Below are 18457 nucleotides of genomic sequence, written 5' to 3' on the forward strand. Positions count from 1 at the left end.
TACACCCTCCCTACAGTTGAGGAGTTTAAAGTACCTAGAATATGTGCCCATATACAGTCCATGCTTTCTACCTCAGAGTCTGTAGATCTTCATATTTCCTGTTCCAGCAACCCTGAGCCCACTTCCATGCCCTGCCCAAGCTAATGACTGAAGTCTATTGTCTCAAGGGAAGTCCATTGTCTCAAGGGTGGACCACAGGAAGGGTGGCCAATATATTTGAGGAACACATGGATGCAGCTTGGAATATACAGGAAGGAGAGTCTAGAGATACCACATACTAGGCTACATGAGGAGCATAAAGGAACCAGGAATGGGAAGAGAGACAAGTAGGCTTGCAGTACAGGACCTGGGGAGACTTCTCCTATACTGCCATGTTCTAGTGCAGAAGTCTTGAAGTGAATATTTGACTTTCCAGGTTATTAGGGAGGTATATTTGTCAAAGTAATGGAAAAGAAGATGTCACATTTAATGATTTGTTGACTTGATATGTAAGTTTTACATATTTAGACATGTGACATTGGGCCCCACAAAGGCTAATGACATAATATATAGAAATATTACCTTGTGAGGGTCACTTTAGTTAGGATGATCAGATAAAGTTTCTCTGAGGAGACACGATTCAAGTCAAGACCTGGAACATGAACTTGTAGAGGAAAACAAATAAGTTTTAACTGGAGGGTATTCCAGCTAGGGTAACTATGTCATACAAATGTATAGAGGATCAAAATCAACAATAACCAGATGCTTCATCTGCATAAAGAATCAAAAGAGGACCTCAGAGGAAGGAATGAAATAACATAAGGATAGAGATCTGCAGGGACTAGATTATGCCCTATTATGCTATAGATAATAGCTTGGTTTTTAATCTAAGAGCAATGGGGCATTACTGGAGGGATTTAATGAGAGAATAGCAGGTTCTTAATTACATCTTTTTAAAGAAACCACATCTTTTTTCTTATGTGTAAAATGTATGTAAAGGGAGGATGGAAGCATGAAATCAGGTTAAAAGACTATTATAGTGACCTGTGGAAGGAAATGATGTTTGCTTGGTCTTAACTGGTAGGAGTAGAGATAGACAGAAAGTGTATGTGTCGAGTGATGTTTTGCAAGTAGACCTAACATTTTCCCTGATGCATTGTATGTGGAGAATGAGGCAGGGAAAATAATCAAGAATGATTAAGATTTTTGGTTTGAGAACCTGGATGAATAGTAGTTACATTTACTGAAATAGAGAATGCTATGAGAGAAACACAGTTTTTTAGGGAGATAGGAATTGAGAGTTCTATTGTGAACATGGTTAGTCTGAGGTACTATTAGACAATCAAGTGGAGATTTCAAGTAGGCACTTGGATACGTCCAAGTTGAACTCAGGGGAACAATGTGGACTCTCCTTTTGTTTTGTGAACATACCACATGCTTCTTATGTCTCAGAGCCTTAGTTCCAGTTGTGCCTTTTGTCGGCAGTATTCTTTCCTACCTTTGCCTGCTTTCAGTCTCAGCTTAAATGCCAATCTATCTAAATGGTTCCCTTATGTCCATTTTTATTCTCTATCTCAGTATTGTTTGTGTTTTGGGGTTTTTTTGTAACTTTTTTTTTTTAATTTGCAAACATTTTCACTTTTTCTTCTCTTCATGAAGAGGGACATTGTTTCACTCACCCTATCTAGCCAATGCCTAGCACAGTGCCTGTCACTTGATAGATATTCAGTAAATACTTGTTGATTGAATGAATGAATGAGCAGTTGTGGTTTGCTTAAAAGGAAAGACAAGGTGCTAGGAGTAGAACAGTATGAGAGATGATGGACTCCCCTTTCCCCCAAAGATTTGAGGGTTCTTGAGTAAGAGGAAGAATGGTTAATGTTTATTAAGCACTTATTATATGTTAGGCACTGACTGAGTACTTTATTAAGATCTCATTTAATATTTAGAACCACCCTATATAGTAGCTTCTCTTTTTATCTTTATTTTGCAGATAAGGAAGCTGAGACTGAAAGAGGCCATGTTGCTGAAAGTTACACAGCTAGTGCAGGACAGCCATATTTCAAGCTCAAGCAGTTTCGCTCCATAGCCTAGTCTCTTAACAAATACATAGAACAGAAGACTATTTCTGCAGTGCTGTAGATCATTGTAGTTTCCTTAGCCTTTGATGCTATTGAAGAGGATTCTGATAAACTCAGTGGAATAGTACATAATACTCCTCAGATGCCTCTTCCCAGTGTCAGGTTCCAACAGCCCAACAAAATGACACCACTGTGTATTCCTTGAAGCCTGGACAAGGTTCACTCCTTGCATATCTCTTCTTCATAAGACTACCACCCTATGCAGAGTGGAATGGAAAGAAAACGAAAGAAAGCAGTGGAGAGAGGTCCTTGGGAGCAAGATCCTGATTCACTTCAACTCACAGGCAGGTCTCCTTTTTTCTGGTAGCCACTGGGGACAGTGCCAAGCCCATCTGATAGAGACCCCTTCTTCATAATGGCCAGAGTGTGTGAGCTACGGAGGACGGTGGGTAGATACCAAAGAATGAAAGGAAAAAGCCAGGAGTCTCATCTTTTTTGCTCTTTGAAGATAAAGGTACCGTCTAATCCCCCTTTCTTTTTCATATTGTCACTGGATAAGAAACTCCTGAGAGCAGAAACTATATTTTGCTTTCATTTTGATGAGCCCCTGTGCCTTTCACATCATGTTTAAGTCTTTAATCCATCTTGAATTGATTTTTGTATAAGGTGTAAGGAAGGGATCCAGTTTCAGCTTTCTACATATGGCTAGCCAGTTTTCCCAGCACCATTTATTAAATAGGGAATCCTTTCCCCATTGCTTGTTTTTCTCAGGTTTGTCAAAGATCAGATAGTTGTAGATATACGGCCTTATTTCTGAGGGCTCTGTTCTGTTCCATTGATCTATATCTCTGTTTTGGTACCAGTACCATGCTGTTTTGGTTACTGTAGCTTTGTAGTATAGTTTGAAGTCAGGTAGCGTGATGCCTCCAGCTTTGTTCTTTTGGCTTAGGATTGACTTGGCGATGTGGGCTCTGTTTTGGTTCCATATGAACTTTAAAGTAGTTTTTTCCAATTCTGTGAAGAAAGTCATTGGTAGCTTGATGGGGATGGCATTGAATCTATAAATTACCTTGGGCAGTATGGCCATTTTCATGATATTGATTCTTCCTACCCATGAACATGGAATGTTCTTCCATTTGTTTGTATCCTCTTTTATTTCCTTGAGCAGTGGTTTGTAGTTCTCCTTGAAGAGGTCCATCACGTCCCTTGTAAGTTGGATTCCTAGGTATTTTATTCTCTTTGGAGCAATTGTGAATGGGAGTTCACTCATGATTTGGCTCTCTGTTTGTCTGTTGTTGGTGTATAAGAATGCTTGTGATTTTTGCACATTGATTTTGTATCCTGAGACTTTGCTGAAGTTGCCTATCAGCTTAAGGAGATTTTGGGCTGAGACAATGGGGTTTTCTAGATATACAATCATGTCGTCTGCAAACAGGGACAATTTGACTTCCTCTTTTCCTAATTGAATACCCTTTATTTCCTTCTCCTGCCTAATTGCCCTGGCCAGAACTTCCAACACTATGTTGAATAGGAGTGGTGAGAGAGGGCATCCCTGTCTTGTGCCAGTTTTCAAAGGGAATGCTTCTAGTTTTTGCCCATTCAGTATGATATTGGCTGTGGGTTTGTCATAGATAGCTCTTATTATTTTGAAATACATCCCATCAATACCTAATTTATTGAGAGTTTTTAGCATGAAGGGTTGTTGAATTTTGTCAAAGGCCTTTTTGAACGTACATATTTTTCTAGCTGGCTATTTTTAGCCACTCAGTTGCCAGAACCTGAAAAGGGTCTGTATCAGCATTTTTTCACTTATTATCACCTGCATTGCTTCCTTTGGAGGGCATAACTGTTGGCTCTGAGAGTTTTTTAGTCAAGAAAAATGAGACATTCTAAAGTTGAGATGAATGAAAATGAGTTAGAAAATATTCATATGTGTACAGAAAATTATACAGCCTTTTGTTCAGTTAATACTATCCTATAATAAACAAGTTTATTTTATAAGTAGGGAAATTACATAGACATACATTAAAAATAAGAACCAATTAAAATCCTTTCTAGAATGATAGGATAAAATAAATTATACACATACAAGAACTATTTTATGTAGCTTGCAAATATAATGAAATATTTTCTAAGGTAATAATGTGTGTGTTTCCTAAATAAGAACCATTTGGGAAGAAAGTACTTTTGGATTATTTAGAATGAATTTATAGAACATTTAAACAAATACTCGGTTACTAAAAGCTTCTCAGATAGATTCCAGATGGGCAACTACTTTGCATACTTTTCAATAAGTTTTTTTTTTTCCTCTAAAGCAACCCTGATAACTTTAATGACAAAGCTGATCAAATTCTGAATAATTCTTGGATTATAAAAAGGTTCTATGGCTGAGACTTTGAGTGGAATAAATGTGCTGAGCCAGCTAGGGAGATAATGAAGCAGGCTGACTGAAAAATTGTATATAAAAGAAAAATAGAGATAGCAAATATTTCTCAGTATGAGTAGTAGAAAAATCTCTGAGAATCATCTTATGTATTGTGACATTTTGTTAATTATTCTTTCTTTTTTGTTGTTGTTGTTGTTGCCTGAGCTGGAGTACAGTGGCCCAATCTTGGCTCACTGCAACTTCCGCCTCCCGGGTTCAAGGAATTCTCCTGTCTCAGCCTCCCGAGTAGCTGGGATTACAGGCGCCCGCCACCATGCGTGGCTAATTTTTTTGTATTTTTAGTAGAAACGGGGTTTTACCATGTTGGCCAGGCTGGTCTCAAATTCCTGACCTTGTGAACTGCCCACCTCGGCCTCCCAAAGTGCTGGGATTACAGGCGTGAGCCACCACACCCGGCTAATTATTCTTTCTAAGGATTATATGTTGGTCTTTGTGCATTAGCTCCAAAATACCATGTTGTCAATATGTTTAGAAATTCATCTGCTACAGGTATTAAATCTTTGTAGTGAGATAATATTTTTTTTTAATTCTGATTTAAATTTTGCCTTTTTTCTTTCTTTCTTTCAAACTATTACACTGGATGATTACCACTATCCCTTTGACCAGGGGCTGGACAAAGCTTGTATTTCCAGTATTTTTTGTAATTAAGTCCTCATGTTGAACCTGCAATACATTGGCTCTTGCTGAGGAATAGATTGTATTACTGTATTAGTGAATTGGCCTGTATTTAAGGTAGAATTATTTATCAAAAACAATGATTTAAAAATGAAAATGTTGAATTAAAAATATAACTTCAGTCACATGGAAGCAAGAACTTCTATTTCAGTTTTGAATGTTGGGGAGATATATAGGAATAGAATAAGGTTGTTCTTTACTATTAGCAGTATTTTCTTTTGGTGGGCATTCTTCTTGGAGAACTGTGAATCAAAGGGAAGTGTTAATTTAAGTCACACTTCTAATCACTCTGACTTACCTACTTGAGATCGAATTTCAAATATGTCCCTGTGCCCCATAAAGCCCTTTAAAGGGATAACTTTAGGAAGAAATGGCACAACCATCCAAAGAGATTTGGCAGCGGTTGATTGACATAATAAATAATGACCATCTGTACCCTGTAGCAGTCCACCAAGAAGCACAGTTAGTCCCTGCAGCCTGGGCAGACTGCTGGTTGTCTTCAGCAGGTGAACAAAGGAGACGTTGCTTATTTGATAGTTGTTCACTTTATTTAAAATGACTACATTTGTGAGGCAAAATTCTAAGATTTAGGTTTTAGCATTTTAAAACTAATTAGATTTTATTTTCAGTTATTTTTATAGCTTTTGCTTATTACTGTATCTACTTGTATAAAGATGTGGGATTTACATAGTGTTTTCATTAAAAGTACTATATTAATGACAATTTTGTTGAAACCTTATTTTTAAGTGATTTTATATTTTATAGAAAATTTGGAACAGAGTTATTGTGGGAAAATGGAATATTTGTCATTTATCTAGTGGAAATAAGTGGTATAGAGACCGAAGTTGAGTCATTATTTTTTTAGGTTACAGATTACATAAAGATTATACAAAATTGACTCATAACTCTGCCAGTTATATTGACATACTTGATTACAACTGTAAAGCTTTTTGTGATTTCATTTTTTGGCACAAAAACTGTGAATGTGCAAAATGCAAAGCTTTAGATTATAATCTAATGAATGCAGTAGATGAAGAGCAATCTATAATTCATTTGCATAGAAATAATTTCAAACAAAGTATGTAAATCATAAGTTAAAAAATCTGTTAGGAATAGAACTTGAAACTTAAAATAGAATTTATAACCCATTGTGTTTCAATTAATTAAAATTGATTGCATCATTATCTCTGAACTTGAAAGAGTCATATGCATTGCTTTAAATAAATTACTCTATTTTGGGTAACAGTATAATTTGTTAGAAAGGACATAAGCTTCAGAGTCAGACATATATGGGTTCAAACATTGTTTCTGCCATTTGCTGTCAGAGTAGCCTGTCTCTCAGAACCTCAGAGTCCTGGCTTGATGGTGTCACTAACACCCCCAAGTTCAGTGATCCACTAGAAAGGCTCACATAAGTTAACATTAAGTTATATTCAAGGCTAGGATTTATTGTCGCAAAAGACTGACTCATGTAGGAACAGCAAAAGCTAGGTCAAAAGAGGCTTTCTTGCCCTATTTATAGCAGGAATTGTATGGCTAAGTCTTTCTGTCTACAAACTGCAAGGCCATGTGTGATACCATTACTCAGGAAATCCCATTTGAGTTTTGGAGTCCAAAGTTCTTACCAGGGGCTGATCACATACCTGTTAACATGACCAGCCATGTGAGGACCCCAAACCAGGCACCATGTGCATAGAATGGATATTTATGTTTACTTTAAGCATGCTAACAACCTAGTTCTTCTTGACCTGCCACTTCAGTCATTATGGACTAATATTACTCAGTAACTTTTGAACATTCTGGTAGTTTAGTTCTCATTTTCACCAAAGGTGGTCAAGAGTATAGAGATAAGCAGAAACTGAATGAAACAGACCTACTTTGTTAAACTTTCCTCACAGAGTTATTGTGAAAGTTAAGGTAGAGCTCTGTTTAGTTTTGGTTTTACCTACGTCCTTTTAGGCTTTCTTTTTTTTTTTTTTTTCTTCTTACCTTTTTTTTTTTATTATTATACTTTAAGTTTTAGGGTACATGTGCACAATGTGCAGGTTAGTTACATATGTATACATGTGCCATGCTGGTGTGCTGCACCCACTAACTCGTCATCTAGCATTAGGTATATCTCCCAAGGCTTTCTTTATCTGAAAATGTCTTTATTTTCTATTCATTGTTCTTTTTTTTTTTTTTTTTTTTTTTTTAATTAGAGAAAGAGTCCCACTTTGTTTCCCAAGCTGGTTTAGATCTCTTGGCCTGAAGCAATCCTCCTGCCTCGGCTTCCCAAAGTGCTAGGGTGAGCCACTGTGCCCAGCCTTGTTTTCCATTCATTCTTGAAAGATGGTTTTACCACATTTACTATTTACAGTTGACAGTTATTTTCTTTCAACACTGGAAGGATACTGTGCTACTTTTGTCCAAACTGTGTGGTTTCAGAAGAGAAGTCTGCTTTCTGTGAATTGGTATACCCTGTAGGTAAAGTCATTTCTCTCTGGCTGCTTTCAAGACTCCTTGTCTTTCCTTGTCGGAAGTTTGATTATGATGAATCTTGGCTTGAATTTATTTGTGTTTATCCTATTTCAGGTCCTGTCAGCTTCTTGTTTGTAGATTTGTGTCTTTCGCCAAATTTGAGAAGTTTCAGTCATTATTTCTTTAAGTACTCTTTCAGCCCTACTCTTTCTCCTCTCCTTTTATCTCAGATTATACAAATGTGGGATTGCTTGCCTTACAGGTTCCTAAGGTTCTGTTCATTTTTTTTCACCCAATCTATTTTCTCTTTGTTGTTCAAATTGGGTAATCTATTGATCTGTCCTCAAGTTCAATGATTAGCCTCTCTTATCTTCACTTTACTATTGAGCCCATTCAGTGAGTTTTTAAAATTTGCTTTGTAATTTTTAGTTATATACTTTTTATTTGGTTCTTTTTTTAATAACTTCTGTTTCTATGGCTGAGATAATCTATGTGTTTTCATATTTTTCAAGGGAATTTGTAAGTGATTGTTGTGCATTTTTCTGGCAGCTTTAAAATCCTCGTCAGGTAATTCCAACATCAGATCCATCCCACTGTTGGTTGACTGTCTTTTCTCATTCAGATTGTGATTTTCTTGGCTCTTGATATGATGGATGATTTTTAATTGTACCCTAGACATATAATCTATTATGTTAGGACATCTTGGGTCCCATTTAAATCTTTCATTTTTGCAGGTAGTTACCTTGTTTAGGTTTAGCAGGTAGGGCCTGGCCTGCTTTAAATGGTTTCAATGACAGTGCAATTTTTAGAGCTTTTTTGGTGTTATTTTGTTTTGTTGGTTTATCTGGTGCCACTGGGCTTCCTTCTAACTTGTTCATTTTAATGCTGCCTCTAGGAGTAGAGGGAATTCCCCAAGTCTGGGCTGCCAGGTGTTTCACTGAGGAAGGGCATCTTAGGCCTATGGGATTGTTTGGTAGACTTCTCCTGCCTCTGAGGAACAGAGTACTTCCTGGGCTGGGACCTTATTGTGGTGGGATTCTTTCTCCCGTTAGGCACACTGCCCTGTCATCTCTGGCAAGGGAGATAGGAGTCTCAGTGCATGGAGACAAAGAGACTTCCCAGGATAGGTCTTTTTTTTGTGGCAGTACTTCTCTTGCCAATGCAACTGAGCTGCCTTGTTATTTCTCAGTTGGGAAGTGAGATAACAGGCCCACAGAAACAAAGAGGCCTCTTAGGCTTGGTCGCTCATTTGTCTGGGATCTATCTTCCTGTTACTTGTGGGCCATCCCAGTATTTCTTGGTGGGGCAAAGCAGTCTTAGGCCAGCTGGGAAAGGGAGTCTTCCCTTAGCTGCTTATTGTTAGTTGGATCTCCAGTCAATCCCCTTGAAGGTGGTACTGGGCTCATTTGGTCATTTTGAGGACTCTTATATAATCCAGGGGAGGAATAGGCCTAACTGAGCCGCCTTCTATGGCTATGTTGGGAGTCAAACTGCCTTCTGTTGTGGCGGTAGGATGGAAGACATCCTGCCACTATTCTGTTCTCCCATTCCAGGAGTCCCAAACCAATTCACCCTTCTCATACCATCTTTCAGAGTTCCTTGTTTGCCTCTTGAATTATGTCCAGGGTTTATAGCTATAATACTTTCCTGTGGAAAGGAGCAGGGAGAATTATGCTTCTAGAACTTGTCCAATGACCATAGTATTTTAATTGTTTGTTTGGATGCTGGATAATATACATTCTATATTTGTATAGTAGAACAAATGCTCACATTTTTAAAAAAAAATTAAAGGGTTACACAATAAAGAGTATTTGGAGACTTCTGGTCTATAAGATTAAGTGAATACTTGATTCCTTGTTTAAGCTCTCCATGGCCTGGTTAGAAAGTACATTTCTAGTTTTTCACTGAACATTACTCCCCTTTAAGAAGTCTTTGCCTTCACTCTTCTTGTGTATTCACTCTATCTAGAAGATTTCTACTTCTTTCTATGCTTTTGCCAAAGTTATTTTCTCCTTTTAGCATATCAATCATATCCATGTTCAAGACTTATCTCAAATACTACCTGTTTTTTGAGACTTCTTCTGACTTTTCTAGCACAATATGGCTTCCTTTTCCTCTGAAATCCTTTGTCATCACTTACATTACTCATGTGACACTTGAAATGACATTTTGAACAGAGTGTAATCTAAGTTTATCTTTAACTCATCTGTTTGGAGATGAACTTTCCTAGAGAAGCAGTGCTAGCAATGCTTAAGTATATCCATAACATATGCAATGTATGGAGCATAACTACCATTTTACATGAGTCTAATGGAATATATCCTTATATACTGACAGTTCTATCTTAAAATTCCAGGTTCATATTCCTAGACTTACACCCCTTCTCTACCAGCGTAGTTAATACTGAGTCCCATAGGAGTGGTGGCTTCTGTGGGCTATGCCAGAGAGACTGCTGCATGGCAGACTGAGAGAAAGTTTGTTGGCAGCGAAGTAGAAAAATAAACTCTTTAGAGATGTTAGAGAGAAGAGAGCTAATGTTGGTGGGACTGTGACAACCACTAATCATAGGTTAGAAAAGAAACTATGTTTCTTTTACACAGGTATTCTTGCCCAACTCCTACCCTTCACTGAACACACTTACATTTCCTCCCTGTGCCTCATTTTTTCACTCAACAGGTAATAGCTTACCTTATTGGTTGCCCCCAGTTTCCTGTATTACATCTCTTTTTCCTTCTGTTCCTTGTGCTTCTCAAATTAACTACTACTTGCATTTGAATCCTTGTCTCAGGGTCTGCTTCTGAGAGAACCCAAACTAAGACAGGGACAGTCAGCTACCTCACATCCACAAGTTATTAGAACTAGATTCAGTAGCATCAGCCAACTCCCCAGAAGGGCAGTTAATCCATCTCATTCATTTCTTCTTTTCTCAGTGTCACTCACGAATCAATTAATAAAAATAAGTATTATTTGCTTAGGCAATTAGAAGGTACACTGTGATTTCATGGGTTTATAAGGCCACCAAAATCTTTATATGTAGCCCATATCTTACAGTGATTACCAAAGTGCATAATTTATATCTCCAGAATCTCTCTAAAATAAGAGAATTGATAAATAGGAAAAGTGGATATTTTTCTTTTACCGTAATCATGATATATTAATACTCAGGAATTAACATAAAGAATAGAATCCAAATATTAACAAGTCAGGAGTCTAAGTCAATCTGTTGTAGCTTCAAGATCAGGGAAATTTAACCATTAGTTTTGAACACAGGTCTGTAGATTTTTCTGTATGGTCACAGATCACTTGCAAGCAAATGAAATGTTAAATATAACTCTGTCAACTCTATTCATTCCTATTGTAATACATCTTTTATGTCTTTGCCTTGTTTCTATTGATGGTTTATACTTAATTACAACTTTTATTTTCATTCATTAACCTGTGGACTGATAAAGCTACTATTCCTATTTCTTGGAAGAGACTAAGAGGCAGTCTGCTTCCATTTTTTCTGTTTTTTCTCTATATTTGAGAAGGTTGCAAAAAGTCTGCTTGTCCCTTTACAAAAAACAGAGCAAAGATAGAGACCAGAAATATGTAGTATAATCACTTTAGGAGAAACCAGCTCTGGAGCAGTTGTTAAGGAGCAAGCTGCAGCTGTCTTTGGCCATATCTTCTGAGTGTGACTTTTCTTTCCTTTGGATAGAAGGGGAGAAGGAGAAAAGTCAGTAAAAATAAAAGCAAATGCAGAGTTCCAGGCTTCTTCAGCAACTCCCCATTCTCCAACTCTGCGTTACTCAATGTCCATGTTCCCTAATTTACTTTTGACTTGCCCTCTGAAACCATTTCAGAGGCGTAAGTAAAGCTTTAGCATCATCATATAACTGAAATTGAATGTCTTTCTCAGCCACTTAGCAGCCTTCTTAGGAATATTCCATTTAATACCTAAGGGGGAGAGGGTTGGTAGTTCTACCCCATCTTTATCCAATTTAACGGATTGGGAGTTTGCCTCTCTATCAACACTTCTGCAGACTATCCACAAATTCTGATCAAAATAGTCACTGAATTCTCCTGGGGCATTTATCCCTGCCTCTTACAGGCTGAGTCACATGTCTTTTTTTATTATTTAAATTTTTACTTTTAATTAACAAATAATAATTGTATATATTTATGGGTATGAGTACAATGTGATGTTTTGATATATGTATATATTGTGGAATGATTATATCAAGCTAACTAACATATCCATCACTTCACATAACTTATTTTTGGTAGTGAGATCATTTAAAATCTGGAGCTTTTTGTAGCAATTTTGAAGTAGAAATACATTATTATTAACCATGGTCACTTTGCTGTGCAATAGATCTTGGAAACTTACTCCTCCCATCTAACTGAGACTTTGTACCATTTGGTCAACTTATCTCCATTCCTCAACCCCTCACACCTCCTGTTTCTGCTGACCAACATTCTGTTCTCTACTGTTCTTTTGTTTTTTTCTGTCTATAACTTAGACTGGATAATTTCTGTAGATCTATTGATCAATTATCTAAGGACACTGAAATTCAACTTTGATATGACAGGCAGTGAGCCGGTTTGGTCTGCAGACTTAGTCTGCCAATCCCTAATTTGGTTCAATCCATGATGGACATGTTTAGAAGGTAGGCTTACTTCTTTTCATTTCGAGGTTACTTTTTCTACCACAGTGTGGTATGTTTGGGGTTTATTAAAAGCCTGGGGTATTTTATCAGAGCCTCTTCTGCTTGCAGGCCCTGAACTCTCTCTGTATTTTTTAACCTATTGGCTTCTGCTTTCACAATGACCATGTGCATTCAAGGGTAAAAGTAGCCCATAAATCCTTGACATGGCTTCTTTTCTTAACCTAGCTTTAGTCTGTCAATACTTCACTATTTTACTAGCTCTCCAGTGCCTTTAAATGGATGTTTAGGGGTTTTCTTTGTTTGGTTGTTTTTTCTTTTTGTGTTTTTGTTTCTACATTTCAACCTATTTTTTCAGTGGTTTGCACTACAAGGATTGGGCTCAACTGCCTAGGTTATCATTGTCTAAAGTGGAAAAGCTGTCCAAGAATCAGTTTGCAACTTTAAAATAACTTTCCTGACTGCCAGATGGCACTCTTAGAAGAATAACATTTGCTTATATATAGGGTTTGGGGTGGAGAATTAAACCCCAGAACTGCTAATCAAATGGAAAGTACAGCTCTTTTATTTTTTATTAAAAAATGAACTTTATGGATGTGTAATTTATATAAAATAAAATTTTCCACAGGTTTTAAATATATAGTTCAATGAAACACCAAGAAATTGAACTTTTTTTTTTTTTTTTTTTTTTACTGAGTCTCGCTCTGTCATCAGGCTGGAGTGCAGTGGCGCAATCTTGGCTCACTGCAACCTCTGCTTCCCGGGTTCAAGCGATTCTCCTGCCTCAGCTTCCCAAATAGGTAGGACTGCAAGTGTGCGCCACCACACCCAGCTAATTTTTGTATTTTAGTAGAGATGGGGTTTCACCATTTTGGCCAGGAGTTGAACATTTTTATAACCCCCCGCAAAGTTGCTTCTTTCCCTTTTGCAGTCAGTCTTTCTCAACTCCTACCCCAAGCAACCACTTCTCTGATACCTAGCATTATAGATTGTCCTTCTCTAGAATTTTATGTAAATGGAATTAGTATCTATGTATGTAAAGTTTGTCTAGATTTATTAACTCAGCAAAGTGATTTGCAAGTGCTCTGTTGTATGCATCTGTAGTAAGTTCCTTTTTATTGCCGAATAGTCAGTTCCCTGAATGTACCAAAATGTGTTTATCAGTTTTCTTTTTGATGGACATATGAGTTGTTTCTAGTTTTTGGCTATTACAAATAGAGCTGCTTCCAGCATTTTTTGATGAATCTTTTTGTGGATATGTTTTCATTTATCTTTGGTTAATTCCTAGGAGAGCAATTTGAGTCATAGGATGTGTATGTTTAACTTTATGAGAAACTTCCAAATTATTTTCCCAAACGCAAAAATGCTTTTTCTGCGTTGGGAAAAAAATGCTTTTGCATTTTCACCAGCGATACATAAGGATTACAGTTGCTCCACACCCTCACAATCTCTTGATTTGTTAATCTTTTTAATTTTAGTATCTTAATGGGTACGAAGTAATGAAGTATCGTCTTATTGTGATTTGTATTTGTATATCACTGGTGACTAATGATGTTAAGTGTCTCTGATGTTCTTACTGGCTATTTGTTCATCATCTTTTCTGAACTTGTTTTACACAATTTCTTGAGCTGGGTTCTTTGTTTTGTTGTTGAGATACGAGTTTTGTATATGTTCTTCATACAAATGCTTTATCAGATAGAAATTCAGTATTGCAAAAATGTTCTCCCAGGTTGTAGTTTGTCTTTTCATTTTTTAAGTGATGCTTTTGAATAAATGTTTTCAATTTTGATGAGGTCCAATTTTCATTTCTTTTTTATAGTTAGTGTTTTTTTGTGCTTCTCTAAGAAACCTTCACTTACCCACTTGATCATGACGTTATCCTCCTAAGTTTTCTTCCAGGATCTTTATAGCATTAACTTTATATTTAGGTGAAAAAACTATGCATAAAAACTATTGCATTTTAAAAATCAGTGTTGTCCCTTTGTTGACCTAACAGAGAGTGTTGGTTGAGTGTTTGCCACATGGTATTTCAGAAGGTAAAGCACTTCAAATAACTGTCCAGGACATTTTAAAGTCATAGTTAGGGTGAATTTTTACTTCAAGATGTCTGATTACTTGTTACAACTCATAGATCATCATTACATTTCCATCTGTCTTTGTAATGAGGGGAAAACTACACTCTAACATTAATAAGAAACCTAACTCATAAATAAAATATATCAACCAGGATACTCTTCCTCCAACTCTTCCTTCCTACTCCCCTCCTTTTTTTCTTCCCTTCCTCTCTTTCTTTCCTTTTTATTCCTCCCTTCCTTTTCTCTTACTTTTTTCCTTTTTCCTTTCTTCATTAAAAACCATATTTTTTCTTACATTATGGTATTGTGGGATTTCATAGTTGAGCCTTTTTTAGATGATAAAATATCCTCTAGTAATCAGTTCTTGAGATCAGATAATGGGATGCTCTCTTTCAATGATATGTTTGCATCACTGGCCTTATGCACCCTAGTGATATTGTAATTGGTGTTTGTTGCTTTATTATACCACAGGAGATTACTTGGGAAAGATATGGGACTATATGAAGTGTCATAGACAGCTATAACTCATGGCCCATTTATATGTGGAAAAATTAGCTCTTAGTAATATGATTTGAGTAGAAAAACAATTTCTAAGATTAAATGAGAACTGAAAATTTTACATTGTAAAATCAAACTCCCTCATGTATTTATGACAGCTTTTTGAAATGACAAATAATAGCATAACATAAACTTTATGGTTGGTGGAAAGTACATGCTGTGCTCTAATTACAGAGATACTATCATTTCGAAGGCTGAGATTTCTGATAGAATTTGGCTGTAATGTAGACTTTAATGTCCTATTGTGTAGTACCGTTTCTTAAATTTGTTTTACAGCATCTTGGGGTTATAACTTCTCAGTGTGCTGTTGATTGAATGGTCTGAATGAAATATCCCTTTAGGTCGACTTTCCACTGGCTCAAATGCAACTTCAAGAAGTGTACCCTTGCTTGTACTAAACAACTGTTCTTATTCTTTGCTGTAGGACAAGAAATGGATTCTCAGTCATGAAGATGTCATATTGGGAGAATTACTGGGCAAGGTATGTAATCAACTGAGCTAAATAACCAGAAGTCTCTATATTGATTGTGAAGACTGCAGATTTTTTCATTTTCCTCAAAGCTTTTCTTATATTGCCACAAGGCACATTACACATTAACTAGAACACAATGCTATATCTTCTCAATATTGTGATGCTCACTGAAATAGATGTGTGAAAGTCTTTGAAAGATTTAAGGATGATTCTTAACATTTAAGAATATTATATGTGTGTTTTCCCCTGGAAGGACTAAAAATCATAATGATTTTACTTCAGTGTGCAGTAAAGTCAAAACTAGTGAACTGAGATTTGAAAAGAAACAGTGAGATAATAAAAGTTTAAATAAATACCTAATAGTCTTGTTCTTTTTGTTTCTGGTTACATGTGATAGTTTAGAAAAAAATGAAATACTGCCTCTTGGGATTTCAGGATTGTATATAGAATTACAGTATGTAACAACACTGGGCATATTTCAATCTAAAAATGTGGACAAGACACTTGTTTCAATATAAATATTAATTTTATAACTAGTTCTATTAATCAGAAAAAGCAACTATATATAATAAAAGTCCCTTTTCTTCCAATGTAGTTGGAAGTTTCTTTGAACTCATAGGCCGTAGTCAAGTATATGTTATTTAACAATAATGGCAGATACTTGAGAATTAACCAAATGGACTATTTGAAAATTTATTAATAACTTTTATTTATAATTGAGTTCCAATGAATAAGTATTCACTTTTTTGTCAGTGACTTAATTAGTGATTATTTCCATTAATATATAAAAATGTGAATTCATTTTAGCTTATGGTGTGATACAAAAAATAGTTTAAAATCTATATATTTAGGAAAAGCTAACATACATATGAGTGATCAGTACTGAACTTAATTAAGGCTCAGCATTTTAGATGAAGAAATGATTACTCATTACTTTTTTGATTCAAATGTAAACTTGATGAATTGACTATTTTCCCCTATTTTTAAAAAATCTCTGAGAAAGTAAATCTCTGTTGAAATAACATAGTTTGCAGGATTCTTATCATTTATGATTTTAAAATACTTTTCCCAAAGCATCGAATTGTTATTGGAAAGCAGATTTTTATTGGCATATTTAGTAAGTGAATTCTAAAGAACCTCAAGCTAAAAGCAGTGACTCATATGTTATTTCCTCTGGGTTTATTTCCTCATCCTTAAGGAAATATTTCTTCTTTCCCTTGCTCTAGGTAACTCAGTAGCAGTGACTGGGCCAAAAAATATTACAAAGATTAATTTCCATGATACAATTAAATAATAAATTATAAAACTAAAGCATTTACTGAAATAAAGGCAGAATATGTTTAGAAGGACAGACTTTTTAGTACTACGAAAAAAATATTTTTAGTTAAAGAGAAATATTTCTATTTTTGTGTTTAGTTTATGCTATAAAGTATTAGGAGGAATTTATCTCCTTAGACTATTTCAAAGAATAATTTTTTTCTCAACGACAAGTAATATGTCAGTCTTAATGAATTTATTTTAAATAGAAGACTGTGACTTTGAGGCAGTGTGTAGCTTAATTTCATCCAGTAGTTTTAAGTACAAGAAAATGGTTATTTAACATTTTTCACTGCCTATTTTAAATAATCATTTACAGTATACTGCTTAAGAGTACATGGCTAATTAAGACAATTAGCCATGATTCCTATTGTTAGAGACTTTGGAGTTAAGTTATAATATAAGGTAATGGCAGGAACGCTGAGGGTTTTTTTTTTTGTATTCAGCACTATATTTTTAGTAGACTGTACTTGATATACAGTATCAGATGCAGCTATAGTCGATAGTTGGTATTCAACAAATATTCAGTCATCCAGTGTTTTTTGAATGCCTACTATGTGCAAGGCACTCTTCTAGGCATGTTTTACAGTTTCAATGAGCAAGTAGCCAGAAATCCTTTCTCTTACGGAGCTTAATATTCTTTCTAGGAGGAGAAGATAAACAATAAGCATAATAAATAGGTAAATTTTATAATGTTAGAGGGTGCTAAGTCCTGTGAACAATAGAGGGATTGGAAGCGTTACTAGTTGTAGTTGCTGTTTTTAGTAGGAAATCCAGATAAACCTTATTATGTTTACTTTTGAATAAAGACTTGAAGGAGGTGGGAAATATAGCCACATGGACATCTGAGGGAAGAGGGGTCTATGCAGAGTAAACAGCCAATGCAAAATTTGTTTGAAGAGCAAAGGAAGCATTTTCATTGTAACAGTAAGCAAGAGGGAATGTGATAGGAGAGGAAGTCTGTTAGGTGATGAGGGTATAAATTACATTGACCTTTTAAGTCATTGTATAACTTTGGCTTTGATCATGAATGAAATGGCGAGCTGGTGGGCAATTTTGAGAGGAGGAATGGCATGATCTTTTTTAAAAAGTTACTCCGGGAGTTGTGAAAATAGGCTGACAACTTGGAAGGTTAGGAGGCAGTTGAACTTACCTGACTAAAAGATGATGCTAGGTTAAGATGATAGCAGTGGTGGTGGTGTGAAGTAGTGAGTTCTGGATGTACTTTTGAAATTGAACCAATTGAATATCCTGATGGACTCTGTATGTGGGGTATTAGAGAAAGATTTCAGTCCTAAGTGTAAAAGATTTCAGGGAACGAGAAGAGGTGTTCAGTTTTGGATGTATTGAGTTTTTCTATGAAACTTCCAAGTGGGGATGATGGAAACTATTGGGTATTAAGTCTGGAGTTGGAGAAAAGAGGTCTGAGTCAAAAGTACAAATCTGGTAGTTGTTAGTATATAGCTGGTACTTACCACAATTAGGTGGATTCAACAGTGGAGTGAGTCTAGATGAAGAAGAGAAGAGGATCAAGGATTGAGCCTTGCCCACTCGAACATTAAGAGGTGGAGATAAGAGAAGCAATCCCCAAAGAAGGTTGAAAAGAGCAGCCAAGTAGGAGGCAGAAAACCAGGAGATATGATGCCTTGGAAGACAAGAAGAGAAAGTATATACCAAGGAAGAGAGTGATCAGTGGTGTCAGATGATGCTGAAAAGCCAAACAAGATGGGATTTAGCAATGAGAG

At 36.0% G+C, this 18457-nt stretch overlaps 1 protein-coding gene across 18 annotated transcripts in view, besides 1 other annotated feature; it reads left to right on the plus strand.

Annotated features, from left to right (window-relative positions):
* FER (FER tyrosine kinase) overlaps window positions 1–18457 on the plus strand; it is a 448945-nt gene that overhangs the window by 274178 nt on the left and 156310 nt on the right. For all 18 annotated transcript variants that reach the window (NR_146155.2, XR_007058589.1, XR_007058591.1 and 15 more), the window contains one exon: window positions 15348–15404. Coding sequence is in view for 15 of the 18 variants with exons in the window: in NM_005246.4 (NP_005237.2) it covers window positions 15348–15404 (57 nt within the window). In the remaining 3 variants the exon portion in view is untranslated. The remainder of the gene's footprint in view (window positions 1–15347; window positions 15405–18457) is intronic.
* Window positions 12543–12592: an enhancer, noted in NCBI's record as "active region_22878". NCBI's record gives its function as "activates an Ori minimal core promoter by ATAC-STARR-seq in GM12878 lymphoblastoid cells {active_cell/tissue: GM12878}" and the evidence as "EXISTENCE:reporter gene assay evidence [ECO:0000049][PMID:35858748]".

Source organism: Homo sapiens, chromosome 5 (genome assembly GCF_000001405.40).
Source record: "Homo sapiens chromosome 5, GRCh38.p14 Primary Assembly".
NCBI classification, from domain to species: Eukaryota; Metazoa; Chordata; class Mammalia; order Primates; family Hominidae; genus Homo; species Homo sapiens.